Here is a 17,953-nt window from a genome sequence, read left to right on the forward strand (position 1 = left end):
ACATTCAGCCCATAACACTGGCATAGACCCTGTTTCCAGGTAAAGTCACATTGACATGTACTGAGGGTTAATTCTTCAGCATCTTGTATGGAGTACAATTCAACCCATAATAAGTACTGAACTCTACAAGGTATATCTTTATTCTGTGATTTTTTTTTTGAGACACAGTCTTGCTCCGTCACCCAGGCTGGAGTGCAATCATGGCTCACTGAATCCTCGACCTCCCAGGCTCAAGTGATCCTCCTGTCCCAGCCTCCCGAGTGCTTAGGACCACAGGCCCCCACTACTACGCCCAGCTAATTTTTAATTACTTTGTTTTGTAGAGATGGGGGGTCTCACTATGTCACCCAGGCTGGTGTCAAATGGAAAAAAAATAATATATACTCTTAAACATATAGCTTTCTGATATTAAGTTCAATTACTTAAATAAATTATATTAAATAAAATGTTGAAAATTAACAGCACTCCGAAAACTCTAAGTGGAATAGAATGAGGACAGGATCGAGGGTCTGGTGGTTTTAAGTCCACAACCTAAGATTCGTGTGGCCTCCAGCAGCTCAGTCAACCTAGGAACCTTCCCTTCTTTGTTAACGAAATGGAAATAACACTATTTCGCAAAGCTGCTGTGAAGATTAAACGTGGATAACGTGCCTAAAAAGTCTATGATATGGTAAACCACAGTATAACATTCCTACAATTCATAATATTACTAATCACATATTCACACTATTGATATTCCTCATAAACTGGAACTAGTAATGCTGAGGTCGGCTAGTGGTTCGAGCTCTAAGATAAAGGCATTGACTGCCACCTGGTGGCAGCGTACTGTAGTGTCAATTCTTCAACTTTCTCGCCAAGGTAAATCACCTGGTGATGATTGCTTCGTCTCCAATTCCAAACAGAAAAAATGAGAATCCATCATCGTGTAACTCCACAATTGAACCTATTAAATGTAAGTTCCAGATGTTAAGGCTATATGCTTAAGATCAAAGAAGATTTGGAGAAGGGAGTTTACCTTATTCTTCCCTAAGCCATGAAATGTGGGTGATGAAATCTGGGATGGTTAACTTTAGCCTCAGTAAATTGTCTTCTCTCCCCTTTTGCTCACAGGGCCTGGTAACAGAGTGAGTGTTTAATTAATATGTGTTCGGCGAAATAATGAAGAATGTACTATTAATAATAACAATACCTTATTTTTATTGAGCACCTAGTATATACCAGACCATTTCAAAATGGATTACTCAGGATGTGCAGACTATCTCAGTGTTCACAGGGATTGGGGCATGCAGCAAAAAGGCCCTTGCTCAGAATATCTGTAGGAGTAGATAGGAGTAAAGATTCAGGACTTAGAAACAAATCTAGAAATGGGCTTACCACGTGCATTCGCTTTAGAGATGCTTATGGACTCCCCATTAAACAGAGACAGCTGGTAAACACAACAAGCAATTGGCAAATACATTTCAGGATCAAAGCTTATAATCCTTACGGGCCATTTACATTCTCAGGTGAATCTATGCTACAAGGTAAAGATGTGTCCCACCCACACTTTGGAAAGAGGTAGGTCTCAGAGCCCAGAAATGCCTTTAATATAGGGGTTGTGAGAGTTAATAAGGTGTGCGAGCTCATAAAGACCCTTATGTTCTTAGCAATATAACTTACAGTTCCTATTTCTTTTCTTTTTCTGTTTCTTTTTTCTTTTCTTTTTCTTTCTTTGTTTTTTGTTTCTCTGAGACACGGTCACCCAGGCTGGAGTGCAGTGGCACCATCTTGACTCATTGTAACCTCTGCTTCCTGGGCTCAAGCAATCCTCCCGCCTCAGCCTCCTGAGTTGTTGGGACTACAGGCACATACCACTCTACTCAGCAAATTTTTTCGTATTTTTGGTAGAGATTGGATTTTACCATGTTGCCCAAGCAGGTCTTGAACTTCTGGACTCAAACAATCGGCCCCCCTCGGCCTCCCAAAATGTTGGCATTACAGGTGTGAGCCACCGGGCCCATGCCCAGGCCTCTCATTTATTCACACAAGAATCCCAACTGTACATATTTCCTTTAATCCCCCCAAAAGACATGTATCAGATTGCTTCTGTGATTCTTTGTTTGATTAAATTTTTTTTGCATGTGTACTCCTTAAAATTTGGAAATAACATAGGCTGATTTTTAAACCTCATTATTTAAAGACGAGGCAAAAAATATTCTAAGGTCTGCATTTTTGCTGAATTCCCTAAGAGATTTTCAGTTCCTCAGAGCAGCCGTGGAGGCATATCCAGGAGCCGATGGCTGAAAGATTTGGATGAATCTGCTGTTGCTGGAGAGTCACTAGGGGATGCCTGTTCATGCCTTCCCTGATGCTCAACTAAAGGATTTAAAATGAGCAAATTTATATTATAAAAGAAAGGAACGGGGGCCTAGGGACAACATGACCCTCACAGCTTTGACTGGCTTTTGAGTTAAACACAACGAAACCTGTAGACTCCTGCGGAGACCTATACCCACGCAGGCGACAGGGAGGGACGACGACCACAGGCACCTGACTCCTCGATTTTCTGGCCCCATGTTGGCTCCAGCAGGTGTGACCCAAAATCAACCTGAAGTTCTGTCTGCTCCTGGAAATTCACCTGCAGAGGGTCAACAGCTGCCCCTTTGCCTAACCTGGGGCCACACCCCTCATGCCTCCAGAGGCCAGGCAGGGACTCTAGGTGAGGGAAGCTGGATGCGGGAGTGTCCTGAGGAATGGGAGCGGGCAGGCCCATTTCAATGGGTGGCGGCTACTGTCTAGTGTCAGCCAATTGCTGCTGTGAAGGGCATGAGCTCAGACTTGCCAGATCTTCCAGTTTTCCAAGAGAAGCCCGTGAGGTGGCTCTCAATATTTAAATGCTGGAAATGGTATATGGTCCCCCCAAAAAAATCACAAGGAAAAACACACGAGCTCCAGATTCCTTATGGGGTCTGATTCCATATGGAGGCCACTGCCTCTGGCCAAAAACATTGAAATCCCCAGATTCTAAGTGTTCGAATCTATGGTAATTTTGCTCCATTTGTCTTCTCCAAATGTATCCCCCTCGTTCCAGTGTTTTTCTGTTGTTACTTCCAAAGTTTAATCTTCCCTTAGGGATACTTGTACCCACAGACCTCCTTCTAGTTTTTCCCCTCTTGGAATGTCCCTATGACTCTCCTGAGTATCCATGAATAACCATCTCTCAAGTCAACACATTATGAAACTCTTCCTTTTCTGAATTTGTTCTCTTCTTCATGTCCTTAGAATGTTCCCCCGGTCTTTCCACCATTTATTTTTCTCTATGGGGAAGGCCACCATCTATTATCGAAACTGAAGATGTCAGACACGCACTCTCCAGCCATTTCTATAAGTATTGGTGTCCACAGACCAGTTCTGCCCAAAAAATTATTAAAGGATACCTTTCTACTGCTTCTGACAAAAGTTATTTTGTTCTCCATGATATAAATTGAGATGAATTAGGAGGCCTCTTACCCATTCCCTGGTCTTCCTGTCTTTGGTTAGTACTTTATGAAGGTGTGATGGTTGGGGCTGCAGCAGCTGTATTGCAACCATGAAGACAAATGCCTAAGGATAAAAAGCCAATATGGCAAGAATGATTGAGCAAACGAATGGAGATATTCTAGGTCTTCAATGACTCTGCTGGGCCCTCAAGCCATCTCTTGACTGCCTTCCTCCACGCCTCTTATTGTTGAAACCGTAGCAACCCCATTGGACAAGCTACTTGGAGGAGAATATTTCATACCTGCTTTTGAAATCATCCTAACTGAAACATACACTGGTATTATTCACCCTCTCCTTCGGCTCTTGGTATGCTTCTCATCACAAAAAGGCTTGCATTTTCGTTAATTTCCTTAAGAGCTTTGAAGTTCCTGAGAGAAGAAACTATTGTGTTAGCGTTTATGGAGCATCTGTTTTATGTCTGCTTCTATATTTGTTTCTGTGCTGTGCTGTCTGTCCAAGTACACATTCCTCAGCACATACAGTGAGGAAGGACCTGACCCCTACCCACCATACCCCACCTACCATCTGGCTTCAGGAGTGGGAGTGTGAAGCCTGTGTGACCCATTAGAACGATTCACTTTGCAGCCTCAGTAATTGGTTCAGGCCCATGTCTCAATCGTAGCCAATGAAACTCAGTTTCAAGACTTTTGCAGACCTAATAAGAAGTGAGAAAAAGAACTCTCACTCTGGACTTGCTGATGCCGTAGCCCTGAAGACTTTCTGGGTAATCTCAAGGGGAGAGACTGAGCAAGAAAGGAACCCACAAAAATAAGAGCCGAGTCAAGAATGTTGAGGGGCTAAAACCACTATGAGAGCTAGTAGTTACTCTTATATTCATGTTAATTTGCAATTCCCATTTCTTGAAAGCAAGAATCCCAATGAATATGCAGTTCTTTTAATCCCCTGGTAAAAGACATGTATCATATTGCTCTGCAATTCTTTATTTGCTTATTTTTTGCATATAAACTCCTTAAAATATGGAAATAATATAGACTAATTTTTAAAGCCCACTATTAGAGACAAGTGAAAAAATATTCTGAGCAATTCCCCAGATCCAAGAGATCACAGAGTGTCTGCATCTCATCGGAGGGCCGGTCACACAACACACAATGCGGCCAAGAGCTCAGCAAAAATTGATGCCACCACATCAGGGTTACAAATGCCAACTTCAGAATTTGAATCATTAACCCAACATTTAATGTTCTGCCTAGGACATGCTAAGGGAGGGACAAACATTCATTTTTTTTTTTTTGAGACAGAGTCTCGCTCTGTCACCCAGGCTGGAGTACAGTGGCATGATCTCGGCTCACTGTAACCTCCAGTTCCCGGGTTCAAGCGATTCTTCTGCCTCAGTCTCCTGAGTAGCTGGGACTACAGACATGTGCCGCCACACTCAGCTAATTTTTTGTATTTTTAGTAGAGACGGGGTTTCACCATGTTAGCCAGGATGGTCTCAATCTCCTGACTTCGTGATCCACCTGCCTCAGCCTCCCAAAGTGCTGGGACTACAGGTGTGAGCCACCACGCCCGACCGGGAGGGACAAACTTTGTAATGCTCCAGGCCAGCACACGAGACCTGAAAAGAGAAGGTATTTCCGCCTGCTTTGTATCACCTTTGAGGCAGACTGAACTCCGGGATCGAGTGTTGCCTTTGAACAGATCTGGAAACTTGTGAAATTTTAAAAGTGTAGTGTCACGTCTGTTGTTGGAGAATGGAAAGCGCTTTTCTCTTTCTTTCCTTCACAGCGCTCCTTTCCTTGCTTCTGTTCTTGGCACGGGACGCTTCTGGTGGGTTTGTCCCCCTTGGAGACCCGCGAGTGCCGCGCATGACTGTCACGTTGGGCTTTCTTGCTTCCTGCAGCGTCCATAACATTTTTGCTTTATCACTGACAGCACCTTCTGTGGATTCTGGAAGCTCTTCAGTCCCATGAAAGGAGCTCCCTCCACACCCCAGCAAAATAGGTTTGCTCAGAGAAAAGCCCAGGGAGAGAATCTGTCTGGAAACAGAAAATGAGGGAGGGCAGGAATAAGAAAAGAGAAAAATAGAGGAGGGCTCTGCTATTTTTAAGTAGAACATTCTTTTCTCTTCAAAATCCACATGTTGAGCTGGGAGAGAGGAAAATTCATGCTGAAAATGGATTTTTATTGACAGCAAAGTACTTGTAAATGGGAATCTATTTTTGACGAGTGCTAAAAACAAAGCCCTGCTTTGGGGAAATAAACCGTGATTGGCATCATATTTTGTTTGTCTGCTGCAGGCCACCGTCTCCAGTAGAACACAATGCATATTTATTTAATTAGACAACTCTCTCTCTCTCTCTCTCTCTCTCTCTCTCTCTCTCTCTCTCTCTCTGTTTGTCTCTCTCTCCTTCCCTTTGCAAGATTCCAGATTTAGACTTTGGCAGCATCTTGTTAACAAGGAGACATATTCAGTGGATTTCTGAGCTCCCAGAGTTCTGTCCTTGGTTCTTTCAGCAGCTCTACATTTTGGGACACTCGCCTGTTAGACTTTGCCGTCACCATTAACTATTAAAAATATTGATTAAGCTCTTACTCTGTGTAAAACGGTGTAGGGGAATCCAGAAACTAAAGGAGCTCAGATTCCTTTATCTGAAATTTGGAGTCCATCAGTCTGGCTGCCATCTTTGTTAGGGGCCTCTAAGATGTGCCCTACGAAGTAGCAGATTTTTTTCTTTCTTTCCTCCTTTTCTTTCTTTTTCTTTTTCTTTTCTTCCTTCCCTTTTTCTTCCCTCCTTTCCTTCTTTCCTTCCTTCCTTCTTTCCTTCCTTCCTTCCTTCCTGTCCTCCTTCCTTCCTTCCTTCCTTCCTGTCCTCCTTCCTTCCTTCCTGTCCTCCTTCCTTCCTTCCTTCCTTCCTTCCTTCCTATCCTTCTTAGTCTGGGTTCTGAACAAGTTGAAATATAAAAAAGATTAAAGATGAGAGGAAAATATTGCCTTAATTACTAATAAAGTCTCAGGTAGGTAGAAAAATGCTAAAGATGCACCCCCTGTAAAAATGCTCACACCCTAGTCCCTGAAACCTGTGAGTATGTTAAGTCACATGGAAAAGGGGAATTGGAGTTCCAAGGAGGGTTGCTGATCAGCTGTGGGAAAGTGCTCCAGGTGCGTCCAGTGTAATCCCAGTGTCCTCAAGTGAGAGAAGAGGCAGAGGACGTGGGGTCGGGGATGTAACTGTGGAAGAAAGGCACGGAGCGGTGAGACATTGCTGGCTTTGAAGATAAAGGAAGGGGCCGTGAGCCAAGGAATGTGGGCAGCCCTCAGCAGCTGGAGGAGGCGAGGAAATGAATTCTCCTCTGGAGCCTCCAGAAAGAGCACAGCGCTGATGACAGACTTTAGTCTTCTGACCTCCAAAACCTTGAGATAATACAGTTGAGTCGTTTTGAGCTGCTATGTGGGTGGTAATTTGTCACAACAGTGATTGATAGGAAAATAATGCAGAGGCCATGGTGGAGTAGTTGGTTGGAGCAGATTAGGCAAATGGACAGGCTAATAGGAAACCCTGGAGTCAGGCAGGCTGGGCCAGGTGAGCCCAGGTGAGACATGCACCTGCAGAAGCAAAGCAAAGCACAAGCCCTCTGTGCACAGCAGATCCCATGAGGAAGGATGGAGCTGAGCCTGGCACCCTCATTTTACTTCCTCAGATTTACCAATCCAAGAAATCACCGCCCTTTCCAAGGAGCAGATGCGTCAAGGTGAGAGAGAGGTCAGTGACAGCAAAACTGCAGTCCCCTGCACCTGGAAGGGAAGTGCCAGGACTGAGGAGGAAGCACCTCCTTGCAATGGAGGTTGCATGTTCACCCACACTGACCTATGCACATACGTCTGAATGCACCATATATGAAGTGTCTCCACTTCCAGAATCTCATCTTGACTTTTCAATGACTTGAAATGGCTTCTCTCTGCAAATCCTATGCACTTCAAAATCTAGGTTGAATTCTTCCTGTTTATGAGAACTTTCCTGGGCACTCAAGCCCTTAGTGATCCTGAGCTGTGCTGAAATACCGTAAGATTTATTCCCTAGCCTATTGCAGTAGCAATGAGTCATATGTATGTCATCGTTGAGTGTTTTGAATTCCTATTCCTCGTTTCACTACTTAACTGTTCTGGTGTCTGTCGTAGCCACCCAACTACATCATGAGTTCTCTGAGGGCAGATCTCATGCCCTACACAATCTGGGAAGCTCTCTGGGACTTTACAGGGAACTTCAGTAGGACACAGTAAAATGCTTCTTGAATGGTTGATTCATCAATGATCTATCTTGTTCTATTTAATCGCATATTGGCAAAGTATTTACTGAGCACACGTTGTGTGTGAAACATTGTGCTAGGTACTGGGGAAAGAGTAGTAAGCAAATGAATTCATTTCCCTAACCTCAGCCCTTATTTGGGGTCCTTCACCCCTATTTGTGCAGATATCCCTCAGTTATACATAACTCCAAAGTTGACGGGTCATGGATCCACAAAGTATTGTTTCCTCTGTATATCACAAAGATAAGCACTGTCTTTGTAACATAATCATTCAAGTCTTTGGTTTCCACTGGATCTGTGCAGAGGCTGGCCCTAGGCCATATGGCACCTTTGTGGGAATTTTAAGATACTGCCCCGGGAGGTTGCAGAACACCCAAGTGAATTAGGGTGAATTAGTAAAAGTTGCCCCCTTCTGGATATTTTCAGCTTAAGCCTGGGTCCTTGGTTTGGCAACTAGAACACAAGCTAGATTTAATTTCCACTTACCCCTTGAGCTGAGAACTCTTGTGCAGTGCACAACCTTCACAACTGTATGTAGCAGCCCTTTCTTATGTTCACTTGGATCCAGGTTGAGCGGGTTCCTGTATCTATTCCAAACCACAAAGAATCCCACATTGGGACCCTTCTCAGGTCTTTTGAAATAAAGAAATGAGGTTTATTTGTCTCATGGTCCTCCAGGCTGTATAAACCTGGCAGCAGCATCTGCTTCTGGTGAAGACGTAAGGAAGCTCCTAATCATGGCAGAAGGCAAAGGGGGAGCACGCACATCAGATAGCGAGAGAGGCCCTTCTGATGTCTGGCTCAGGCAAAGGGGGAGCGGGCACGTCGGATAGTGAGAGAGGCCCTTCTGAGGTCTGGCTCAGTCTCAGTGGTGGGGCAAGGAAGAGTCCTGGGTGTTCCAGGCACATCAAGCTCAAGCCCTGGCTTCTCTCTATGCATCTCCTGCTATCTCACTCCCCAGTTTCCTTCCAGGCACTCCTCTCACTGCCAGCCCTCACCAGGATAGTGGCACCGCCTCTTCAACAAACCAGCACTCCATCAAAATGGAAAGGTTACGTTTTTAAGACAATTCTTTATCCTAGAAAATTTCCTTAGGCTTGAAGTTGGCGAGAAGCATAAGGTCCCAGGAGAGTCAGCGAGTCAACATTTCTTGGAATTACTCGACCACATGAAAATACATCTTGGATCTCTTATTTGCTTTTTGCTTTGGTGTATCAGATTCAGCAGAACCAGGGAGGTTGGACTGGAATTCCAGGAAATCTCAGTCCCTCAATAGAAAATAAATGCACCCAGTGGCTGACAATGGGAAGATGTCACCCAGCATCAGGCTAGTTCCTTAACTCTGTCACATTTCATGTGCAATCTCTGTGCTCACCTGTCCTTGCAGTGGTTCTGAGGACAGCACCCTGGTGCACATTGGGAGTGACGGTGCATGGTAATGAAGGCTGCTTCATTCATTCCTGCTTTCCCGCTCGCTGGCCGTGTGACCCTCTGCAGCCTGCTTCATTCATTCCTGCTTTCCCGCTCGCTGGCCATGTGACCCTCCTGCAGCCTGCTTCATTCATTCCTGCTTTCCTACCCTCTGGCTGTGTGACCGTCTGCAAGTTATTGACCACTCTGTGCCTCTCTGTCCTCATCTGCAAAGCAGGAGTAATAATATCACCCATCTAATTGGGATGTTGGGAGGATTTGAATGAGTTAAAATGTATTAACGCCCCATGACAACAGGCCCTGCACCAAAGTGGGTTTAGAGCTAAAGAGATTTGTGACTCATCACCACTGGATTCCGACAAGATCATGGCAGCATTTTCTGTACATGTAAAATATTAAAAGGGATTTCAGGAGTGGCCAGCTTACTGCAATTTCAGACACACAGCTGCTGGTGTGGTTGTGTGTGACCCTCCCTCTGTTGATAAAGTCTGCACCACAAATCCAGTGCTTTGGGTCCTCTGCGTGTGTTTACATTTGCAGGAAAAGATCAGTGACCCCCCATTATCTGGAGCCAAGCCATTGGGTGAAGGAGTCCAGTGGAATTTACAAAGCTAATGGGGGTTCGTCCTGCCTGCCCGCTGGAAACAACAAGCAGATGAAAATAGGGCATTGGTGGAGAACGGCCTTCAATTAGAAAGTCATAGTTCAGTGCTCGATGCAGCCGCGAATGCCTCCCGGGACCTGGAAAATCCCCTCATGTGCTAACTTGGCTCCTTTGTGTCATTCCAGAAAGCAGAGAGCAGTATTAGAAAGGTGCTTTTTGTACCGATTCAAATCTTCCATCCTCTTCATTATTCACAGGAAGGCCTGGGACACTGGACTATTTCCAGCTTGGGGTTTTACACATAAAGCTACTATGAGCAATTGTGCACAAGTTTTTGTGTAGCTCAATATGGTTTTAATTAATGTTTTTTCTCTACTTTGTTGCTAAACCTGGGATGCAATCTATTGTTTCTGTGCTTCACATGCAAATGGGTGGGAACTGAAGGGCTTTGTTTGTTGACTGTTGATTGATGATTGGTATTTTTTTTTCTTTCTTTCTTTCTTTTTTTTTTTTTTTTGAGACAGAGTCTTGCTCTGTCACCCAGGCTGGAGTGCAATGGCACGATCTCAGCTTAATGCAACATCTGCCTCCTGGGTTCAAGTGATTCTCCTGCCTCAGCCTCCTGTGTAGCTGGGATTACAGGTACACACCACCACACCCAGCTTATTTTTGTATTTTTAGTAGAGACAGGGTTTCACCATGTTGGTCAGGCTGGTCTCGAACTCCTGACCTCGTGATCCGCCCATCTCGGCCTCCCGAAGTGCTGGGATTACAGGCGTGAGCCACTGCACCCGGCCGATTGGTGTTTCTTAACTAGGCTGGTTTCGGTCACTGCATGACCTCTGAGTACGATGGTAGGCTGGGTAATGTTTCTCCAAACTGGAACAGCACAGATGTTATTCAACAGATGACCAGTTACGCAAACTGTGGTACCCCCTCCATGAAATTCTACTTAGTGTTGAAAAGGATGGAACTCTTGGCACAACAGCTTGGATGGATCTCAAAGGCATTAGGCTGAGTGAATACAGCCAGTCCCCGAAGGTCACGCCCTGAGTGATTCACTGATATGACATTCTTGAAAGCATAGACAGGGACAGGTGAGTGGCTGCCAGGAGTCCAGAATGATGGGGAGCAGGAGGGTGGGTGAGCCCGAAAGGAGAGACTGGAGGACAGTCTCGTGTGCGTGATTCAGCGCTGTGTTCTGGATGTGGTGCCAGTTACATGAACTCACATGCAGGGAATGTAAGCCAAAAATAAAATGCTAAGCCCCCTCAACCAATTGACTAAAGCCCTCCTCTCAGCCAAGGGTGTTCCTAAGTTAACCCTTGTTCCTGAGTTAACATCAATATTAATATTTCTTAATGTTCCCAAGTTAATCTTAATATTCCATAGTGATGTCTGTGAGTTAAGTGCTGCTGATTTGCTTAGTGCGAACATAAGTTATACGTACTTTCAAATATGCCATGGCCACCAGGATTGAGAATGAGCTCGACCAAATTTTTGAAACACTAATTCAGGCCATGATGGGAATTAGGGGGTCAGACACACCTCACTACACCCTCCTCCCTTTGGAATTCAGGCACAGGTGACTGGCATTAACTGTAAAACACACCTTCAGGCTGACAAAGCAGACTCTTTGTCGCAATAAGATACCCACATGACAGATAGCAAGCCCTAAAAGAAATCAAAATATTTCACCCCAAAATAGATTTCTTTGACATATTTTGAAATGGCCCTGCAAAGCTGTCTCTTGCAGGGAAAAATCTACATTTTGTAGAGAATCCCCTTCCCTTTCCAGGACTTTTTCCTGATCCAGGAGAGAATCAGCTAAGGTTCTGGTACCTTTTAAAGTCTGATAATGAACATTTACATCTGTTCTCTCTGAAGCCTGCTGTCTGGAGGCTGCATCTGCATCATAAGAACCTTGGCCTCCCCAACCCCTTATCTGAACCCAGACACCCCTTTCTATCGATTCCAGGTCTTCAGATAAACTCTCAACCAATTCCCAATCAGAAAATCTTTGACTCCACCTATGACCTGGAACACCGCCACCTCCCACTTTGAATTGGCCTGCATTTTTGGAGGTAACCAATGTACATCTTACACGTATTGGGTGATGTCTTGTGCCTCCCTGAAATGTATAAAACCAAAAGCTGTAGCCCAACCACCTTGGGCACAGGTTCTCAGGACCTCCTGAGGCCCTCACCGGTATGTCATCAATCTTGGCAAAATAAACTTCTAAATCGATTGAGACCAGTCTCAAATACTTTTTGGTTTACAGATAAAATGACTGAACTACACACACACACATTGCACCAATGCCAGTTTCCTTGCATTGATATTATACTATCATTCCAGAAGATGGAACCCCCTGGGAACCGGAGTAATGGGTACATAGGACCTCTCTGTACCACTTTGCAACTTCCTGTAAATCTATCATTATTTTAAGGTATTAATAAAAAGCTTTTTTAAAAAGAACATATTGAACTACACCAAATATCCTCAACCATATTTTTTTTTGAGATACAGTCGTATTCTATTGCCCAGGCTGGAGTGCAGTGGTGCGGTCTGAGCTCCCTACAACCTCCGCCTCCTGGGTTCAAGCGATTCTCCTTCCTCAGCCTCCTGAGTAGCTGGGACTACAGGTGCACGCCACCATGCCGGGCTAATTTTCGTATTTTTAGTAAAGACAGGGTTTCACCACGTTGACCAGGATGTTCTCTACTCTTGACCTCGTGATCCCCCCACCTCAGCCTCCCAAAGTGCTGGGATTACAGGCGTGAGCCACCGTGCCAGGCCCCTCAACCATATTTCTTTGGCATGCCAAAGGACTCTAGACTCTTAGCAGGTTTATCACTAATGCTGGTGTCGTGTAATTTTGTAACAACTTAGCATACTGTTGTTAGCAAGAATGACAACCTCTAATGTCCACAGCATCCCAGCCTGGTAACATAAATAAGTGAAGTAGCCTGTTTATGAAGTAACTGTAGCTTAGTGTTGACAGCCTGCGATATAGTCCTGATAATCCCAATATTTAGATTTTTCATTAACACAAAACTCCCATTAAAAGCACTTGCCACATGTGCCTCAAACAAAGCATGGTCATCGGCTGTATCTTGTCAACAGACCAGCAGAGGTGATTCCATTTGACCAGCAACTTCTGCCAGAAAGAACAAATGCAAGGCTGCCAAATTGCAGGTCCTGGTGTAAAACAGGTGCAGCTTGCTACCTGCAAGAGGTTGGAGACATTGGTAAATAAAGTCAAGATAGTGCAATAGGAGGATTGTTTCTTTCCTGGACCGTGACAAGCCCTGACCTCCTGAGAATTAAAGAACAAGGTTAGGGAAGTCTCCCGTTCAACTGAAACAGGCAGTGACATAAGCAACGCGGGAGATGGTAATGCTTATAGAGACACTGTGAGACATTGATACTCCATAGTGATGTTTAGGTAAGTGCTGCAGATTTGCTTAGTGTGAATTTAAATTACACATACGTTCAAATATGCCATGGCCACTAGGGATGAAGATGAGCTCAGTCAGATTTTTTCACACACACACACACACACACACACACACAATAATACTATTGAAACTGCCTTTGCAAAATTATGACTGAGGCAGCGAAAGAGATCTAACTTAACCGACCCCATCTTGCTTCTAACCTCCAAGCTGTCCTTGTTCATTCCCGGGCGTAGGCTGAACTAACTTTGGGAGAAACTTAGTTTATAGTTTAAACAAGGATGGTAACAGTCCTTTCCCAAAGCAGACCTCTTTCTTGCCTGAGGACTAAATTGCCTTTATAGGACTAACATTAGCCACAATATTAGAAATTATGACTTAGGAGTCACGCAGCTGGAGGCTACAAGATTCTGACCCTCCCTAAGCTGCCCCTAAGATCAGGGCTTGAGATGTTTTGCAGACTCTGCACTTGATGGATCAACTGGCACCACCCAGATGGATAAACTGGCCCATATGAACTTGTGGCCCCCACCCAGAAACTGACTCAGTGCAAGAAGACAGCTTCGACTCCCTATGATTTCATCTCTGACCAATCAGCACTCCTGGCTCACTGGCTTCCCCCCACCCACCAAATTATCCTTAAAAACTCTACTCCCTGAATACCTGGGGAGACTGATCTGAGTAATAATACAACTTAGGTCTCCGCACAGCTGGCTCTGCATGAATTACTCTTTCTCTATTGCAATTCCCTGTCTTGACGAATCAGCTCTGTCTAGGCAGCAGCGGGCAAGGTGGATCCCTTGGGTGGTTACACGATAATACAGTGCTATTATGCATTATTATAGATCTATCTAAAATATTACCATATGTAGACGTGCTCTGGTCATAAGATAGTACCTTTATGTTTTATGGAGAATTTCCCTCAATACTCTGTATATACAAGATCACTTGGAGATCGTCCAGAGTCTAAATGTGAAGCCATTTATAAGTGACCTTGTCTGTAATCAATGCTAGGTTCACAAATATGCATAGGTTCCTGGATAAGTCAAACCACAAAAAGGAATATGAAAGAACACCAGGGCTACACAATCCTTTTAGGGCAATCCTACCTGTTGTTATTATCTTTTCCTTGAAACTTTACAGACCAAGATACGTGTTCTCTCACCCATCACCTGCTTCATTGCACCCATAAAGCATTTGATTGCAGGCCAGGCACGGTGCCTCATGCCTGTAATCTGAGGCAGGCTGATCACCTGAGGTCAGGAGTTCCAGACCAGCCTGGCCAAGATGGTGAAGCCCCATCTCTACTAAAAATGTAAAAATTAGCCAGGCATGATGGCACAAGCCTGTAATTCCAGCTACTCAGGAGGCTGAGGCAGGGGAATCACTTGAATCTGGGAGGGGGAGGTTGCAATAACCCGAGATCACGCCACTGCACTACAGCCTGGACAACACAGTGAGACTCAGTATCAAAAAAAAAAAAATTCTATTGCATTTCTAAATGCCTACTCTCAGCTGAGTAAATTCTTTCCTTAGATTGAAAAATCAGAAACAACAAAACTAAAGAAAAAACAACAGAAAAACCGACCTCCGTTGAGGTAAAAAGTTGCTCAGAATTTACAAGTTCGGTTAAATAATCAGACCCCACCCTTCTGTTCCCATTATCTATTTGCAATGCTAAGTTAAACCCTTCAGTGCCCTTTTACCTCAGCTTTCAAAAACCTTAAGGTACTGAGAAAATGGTATTTTTTAACCATATATATATTATATTCCATAGTATATAATATAACATATAATATATTAAATACATTTACTATATAATACATAATATATATTATATAATATATTATATACATTTAATATATAATATATATTATATATTATATAAAATGTATATAATATATAATATATATTATATAATATGTATATAATATATAATATATATTATATAATATGTATATAATATATAATATATATTATATAATATGTATATAATATATAATATGTATTATATAATATGTTATATAATATATAATATATATTATATAACGTTATATAATATATAATATATATTATATAATATATAACGTTATATAATATATAATATATATTATATGATATATATTATATTATATATTATAATGTATAATATAATATATATCATATAATATATAATATATTGTATAATATATTATATAGTATATAATATATTGTATAATATATTATATAGTATATAATATGTTGTATAATATATTATATACTATATAATATATTATATATTATATAGTGTATAATATATTATATACTATATAATATGATATATTATATACTATATAATATATATATTGTATATTATATACTATATTATATAGTATATAATATATTATATACTATATAATATAGTATATAATGTATAATATATATTACATATTATATATAATATAAATACATATTATATATATTACGTATTATATATAATATAAATACATATTATATATATTACATATTATAAATAATATAAATACATATTATATATATTATATATAATATATAATACATAATATATAATATATATTATATAATATATTATTACATAATATATTTTATATAATATATTGTTATATAATATATAATATATAATATGTTGTTATATAATATATAATATATATTGTTATATAATATATGATATATATTGTTATATAATATATATGATATATATTGTCATATAATATATAATATATGATATATATTGTCATATAATATATAATATATGATATATATTGTTATATAATATATAATATATGATATATATTGTTATATAATATATAATATATAATATTATATGTAGTATAATATATATAATATTTTATATAATATATAACGATATATTATATAATATACTATATATTATATAATATATAGTTATATATTATATAAATATATATAAATAATTATATATATAAATATATATAAATATATATAAATATATAAATATATAAATATATATAAATATATACATATATAAATATATATAAATATATATAAATATATACATATATAAATATATATAAATATATATAAACATATACATATATATAAATATGTATAAATATATATAAATATATATAAATATATATAAATATATATAAATATATATAAATATATAAATATATATAAATATATATAAATATATATAAATATATAAATATATATAAATATATATAAATATATAAATATATAAATATATATAAATATATAAATATATATAAATATATATAAATATATAAATATATAAATATATAAATATATTTAAATATATAAATATATAAAAATATATATATAAATACATATAAATACATATATAAATATATATGTAAATATATATAAATACATATATAAATATATATATGAATATATAAATACATATATAAATATATATATGAATATATATAAATACATATATAAATATATATATGAATATATATAAATACATATATAAATATATATAAATACATATATATATAAATATATATAAATACATATATAAATATATATATATATATTTTTTTTTTTTTTTGAGACAGAGTTTTGCACTCTTGCCCAGGCTGGAGTGCAGTGGCGTGATCTCGGCTCACTGCAAGCTCCGCCTCCCGGGTTCACACCATTCTCCTGCCTCAGCCTCCCCAGTAGCTGGGACTACAGGTGCCCGCGACCACGCCCAGCTAGTTTTTTGTATTTTTAGTAGAGACGGGGTTTCACCGTGTTAGCCAGGATGGTCTCGATCTCCTGACCTCATGATCCACCCTCCTCGGCCTCCCAAAGTGCCGGGATTACAGGCGTGAGACACCACGCCTGGCCTAACCTTCTATATTAACCCTAAAGCAACTACGTTTAAAAAATAACAGGTACCTAAATTGGAACACCAATTTCTCTAATCACAGATCAGGTACATAACTTTATGGGAAACATTTCCTTCAAAGCATGACAAGGAAGGCTCGTCTGATCCTGTATTTTATTTGTGAATTTATTTCTTGAGTTAACATGAATCTATGTCAAAGTAAAACTTATATCTGAAAGAATCCAAATCATGAGCAGCTTTCTTTTTATAGTTTTTCCCTTAAGAATAAAAAAGTTGGGCAAAATGCATTTCCAACGACAATCTGCAAACAAGATGACAAGAGTCTGGGTGAATACATTTTTAAACGACTGCCTGGATCAACTGGAATTGTCATTGGTTTCTTTATTTACTGTTATTTCACCATCATCTTTAATAATCTTGTTCAATAATATTTTATAAATAAATATGTAAATGAATCAAGAAGTAAATAGAAAATGTGTCTAGGAGATACTTCATTGGGAAACAAAGCTGATTAAAAGCATTAAGTGTTCATGAATCCATTTTTGTAAGATACCTGAGTGCACCTGTGTGTAGATGATTTGATCAGAAAGAATTGTTTTGCCATGTTAACAAACAAACTCAAAGTTTTAGAGTCAAAAGTGGAAATAAATATCCCTTTTTTACATAGCCAGAGAGACGCAATTCATCACGTTCATATTAATTGTCTTTATCCAAAGCCAGGGCTGGGGAGAATCAGGGGCAGGCAGGAGATTGCATTTTTGTGACAAGCAGGAAGTTACTTCTGGCAGCCATGCACCTAGGTCAGTGCCGTCAGAT

General features: G+C 40.2%; 1 long non-coding RNA gene across 1 annotated transcript; it reads right to left on the minus strand.

The window, feature by feature from the left end:
- Positions 1-3,457: 3,457 nt before the first annotated feature.
- LOC105370071 (uncharacterized) lies at positions 3,458-5,510 on the minus strand. The gene is made up of 3 exons (XR_945534.2): positions 5,133-5,510; positions 4,042-4,174; positions 3,458-3,887 (listed from the first exon to the last, which is right to left on the minus strand). It is a non-coding gene; the product is annotated as an uncharacterized LOC105370071 (long non-coding RNA).
- Between the last annotated feature and the right edge of the window lie 12,443 nt (positions 5,511-17,953).

Source organism: Homo sapiens, chromosome 12, assembly GCF_000001405.40.
Source record: "Homo sapiens chromosome 12, GRCh38.p14 Primary Assembly".
NCBI classification, from domain to species: domain Eukaryota; kingdom Metazoa; phylum Chordata; class Mammalia; order Primates; family Hominidae; genus Homo; species Homo sapiens.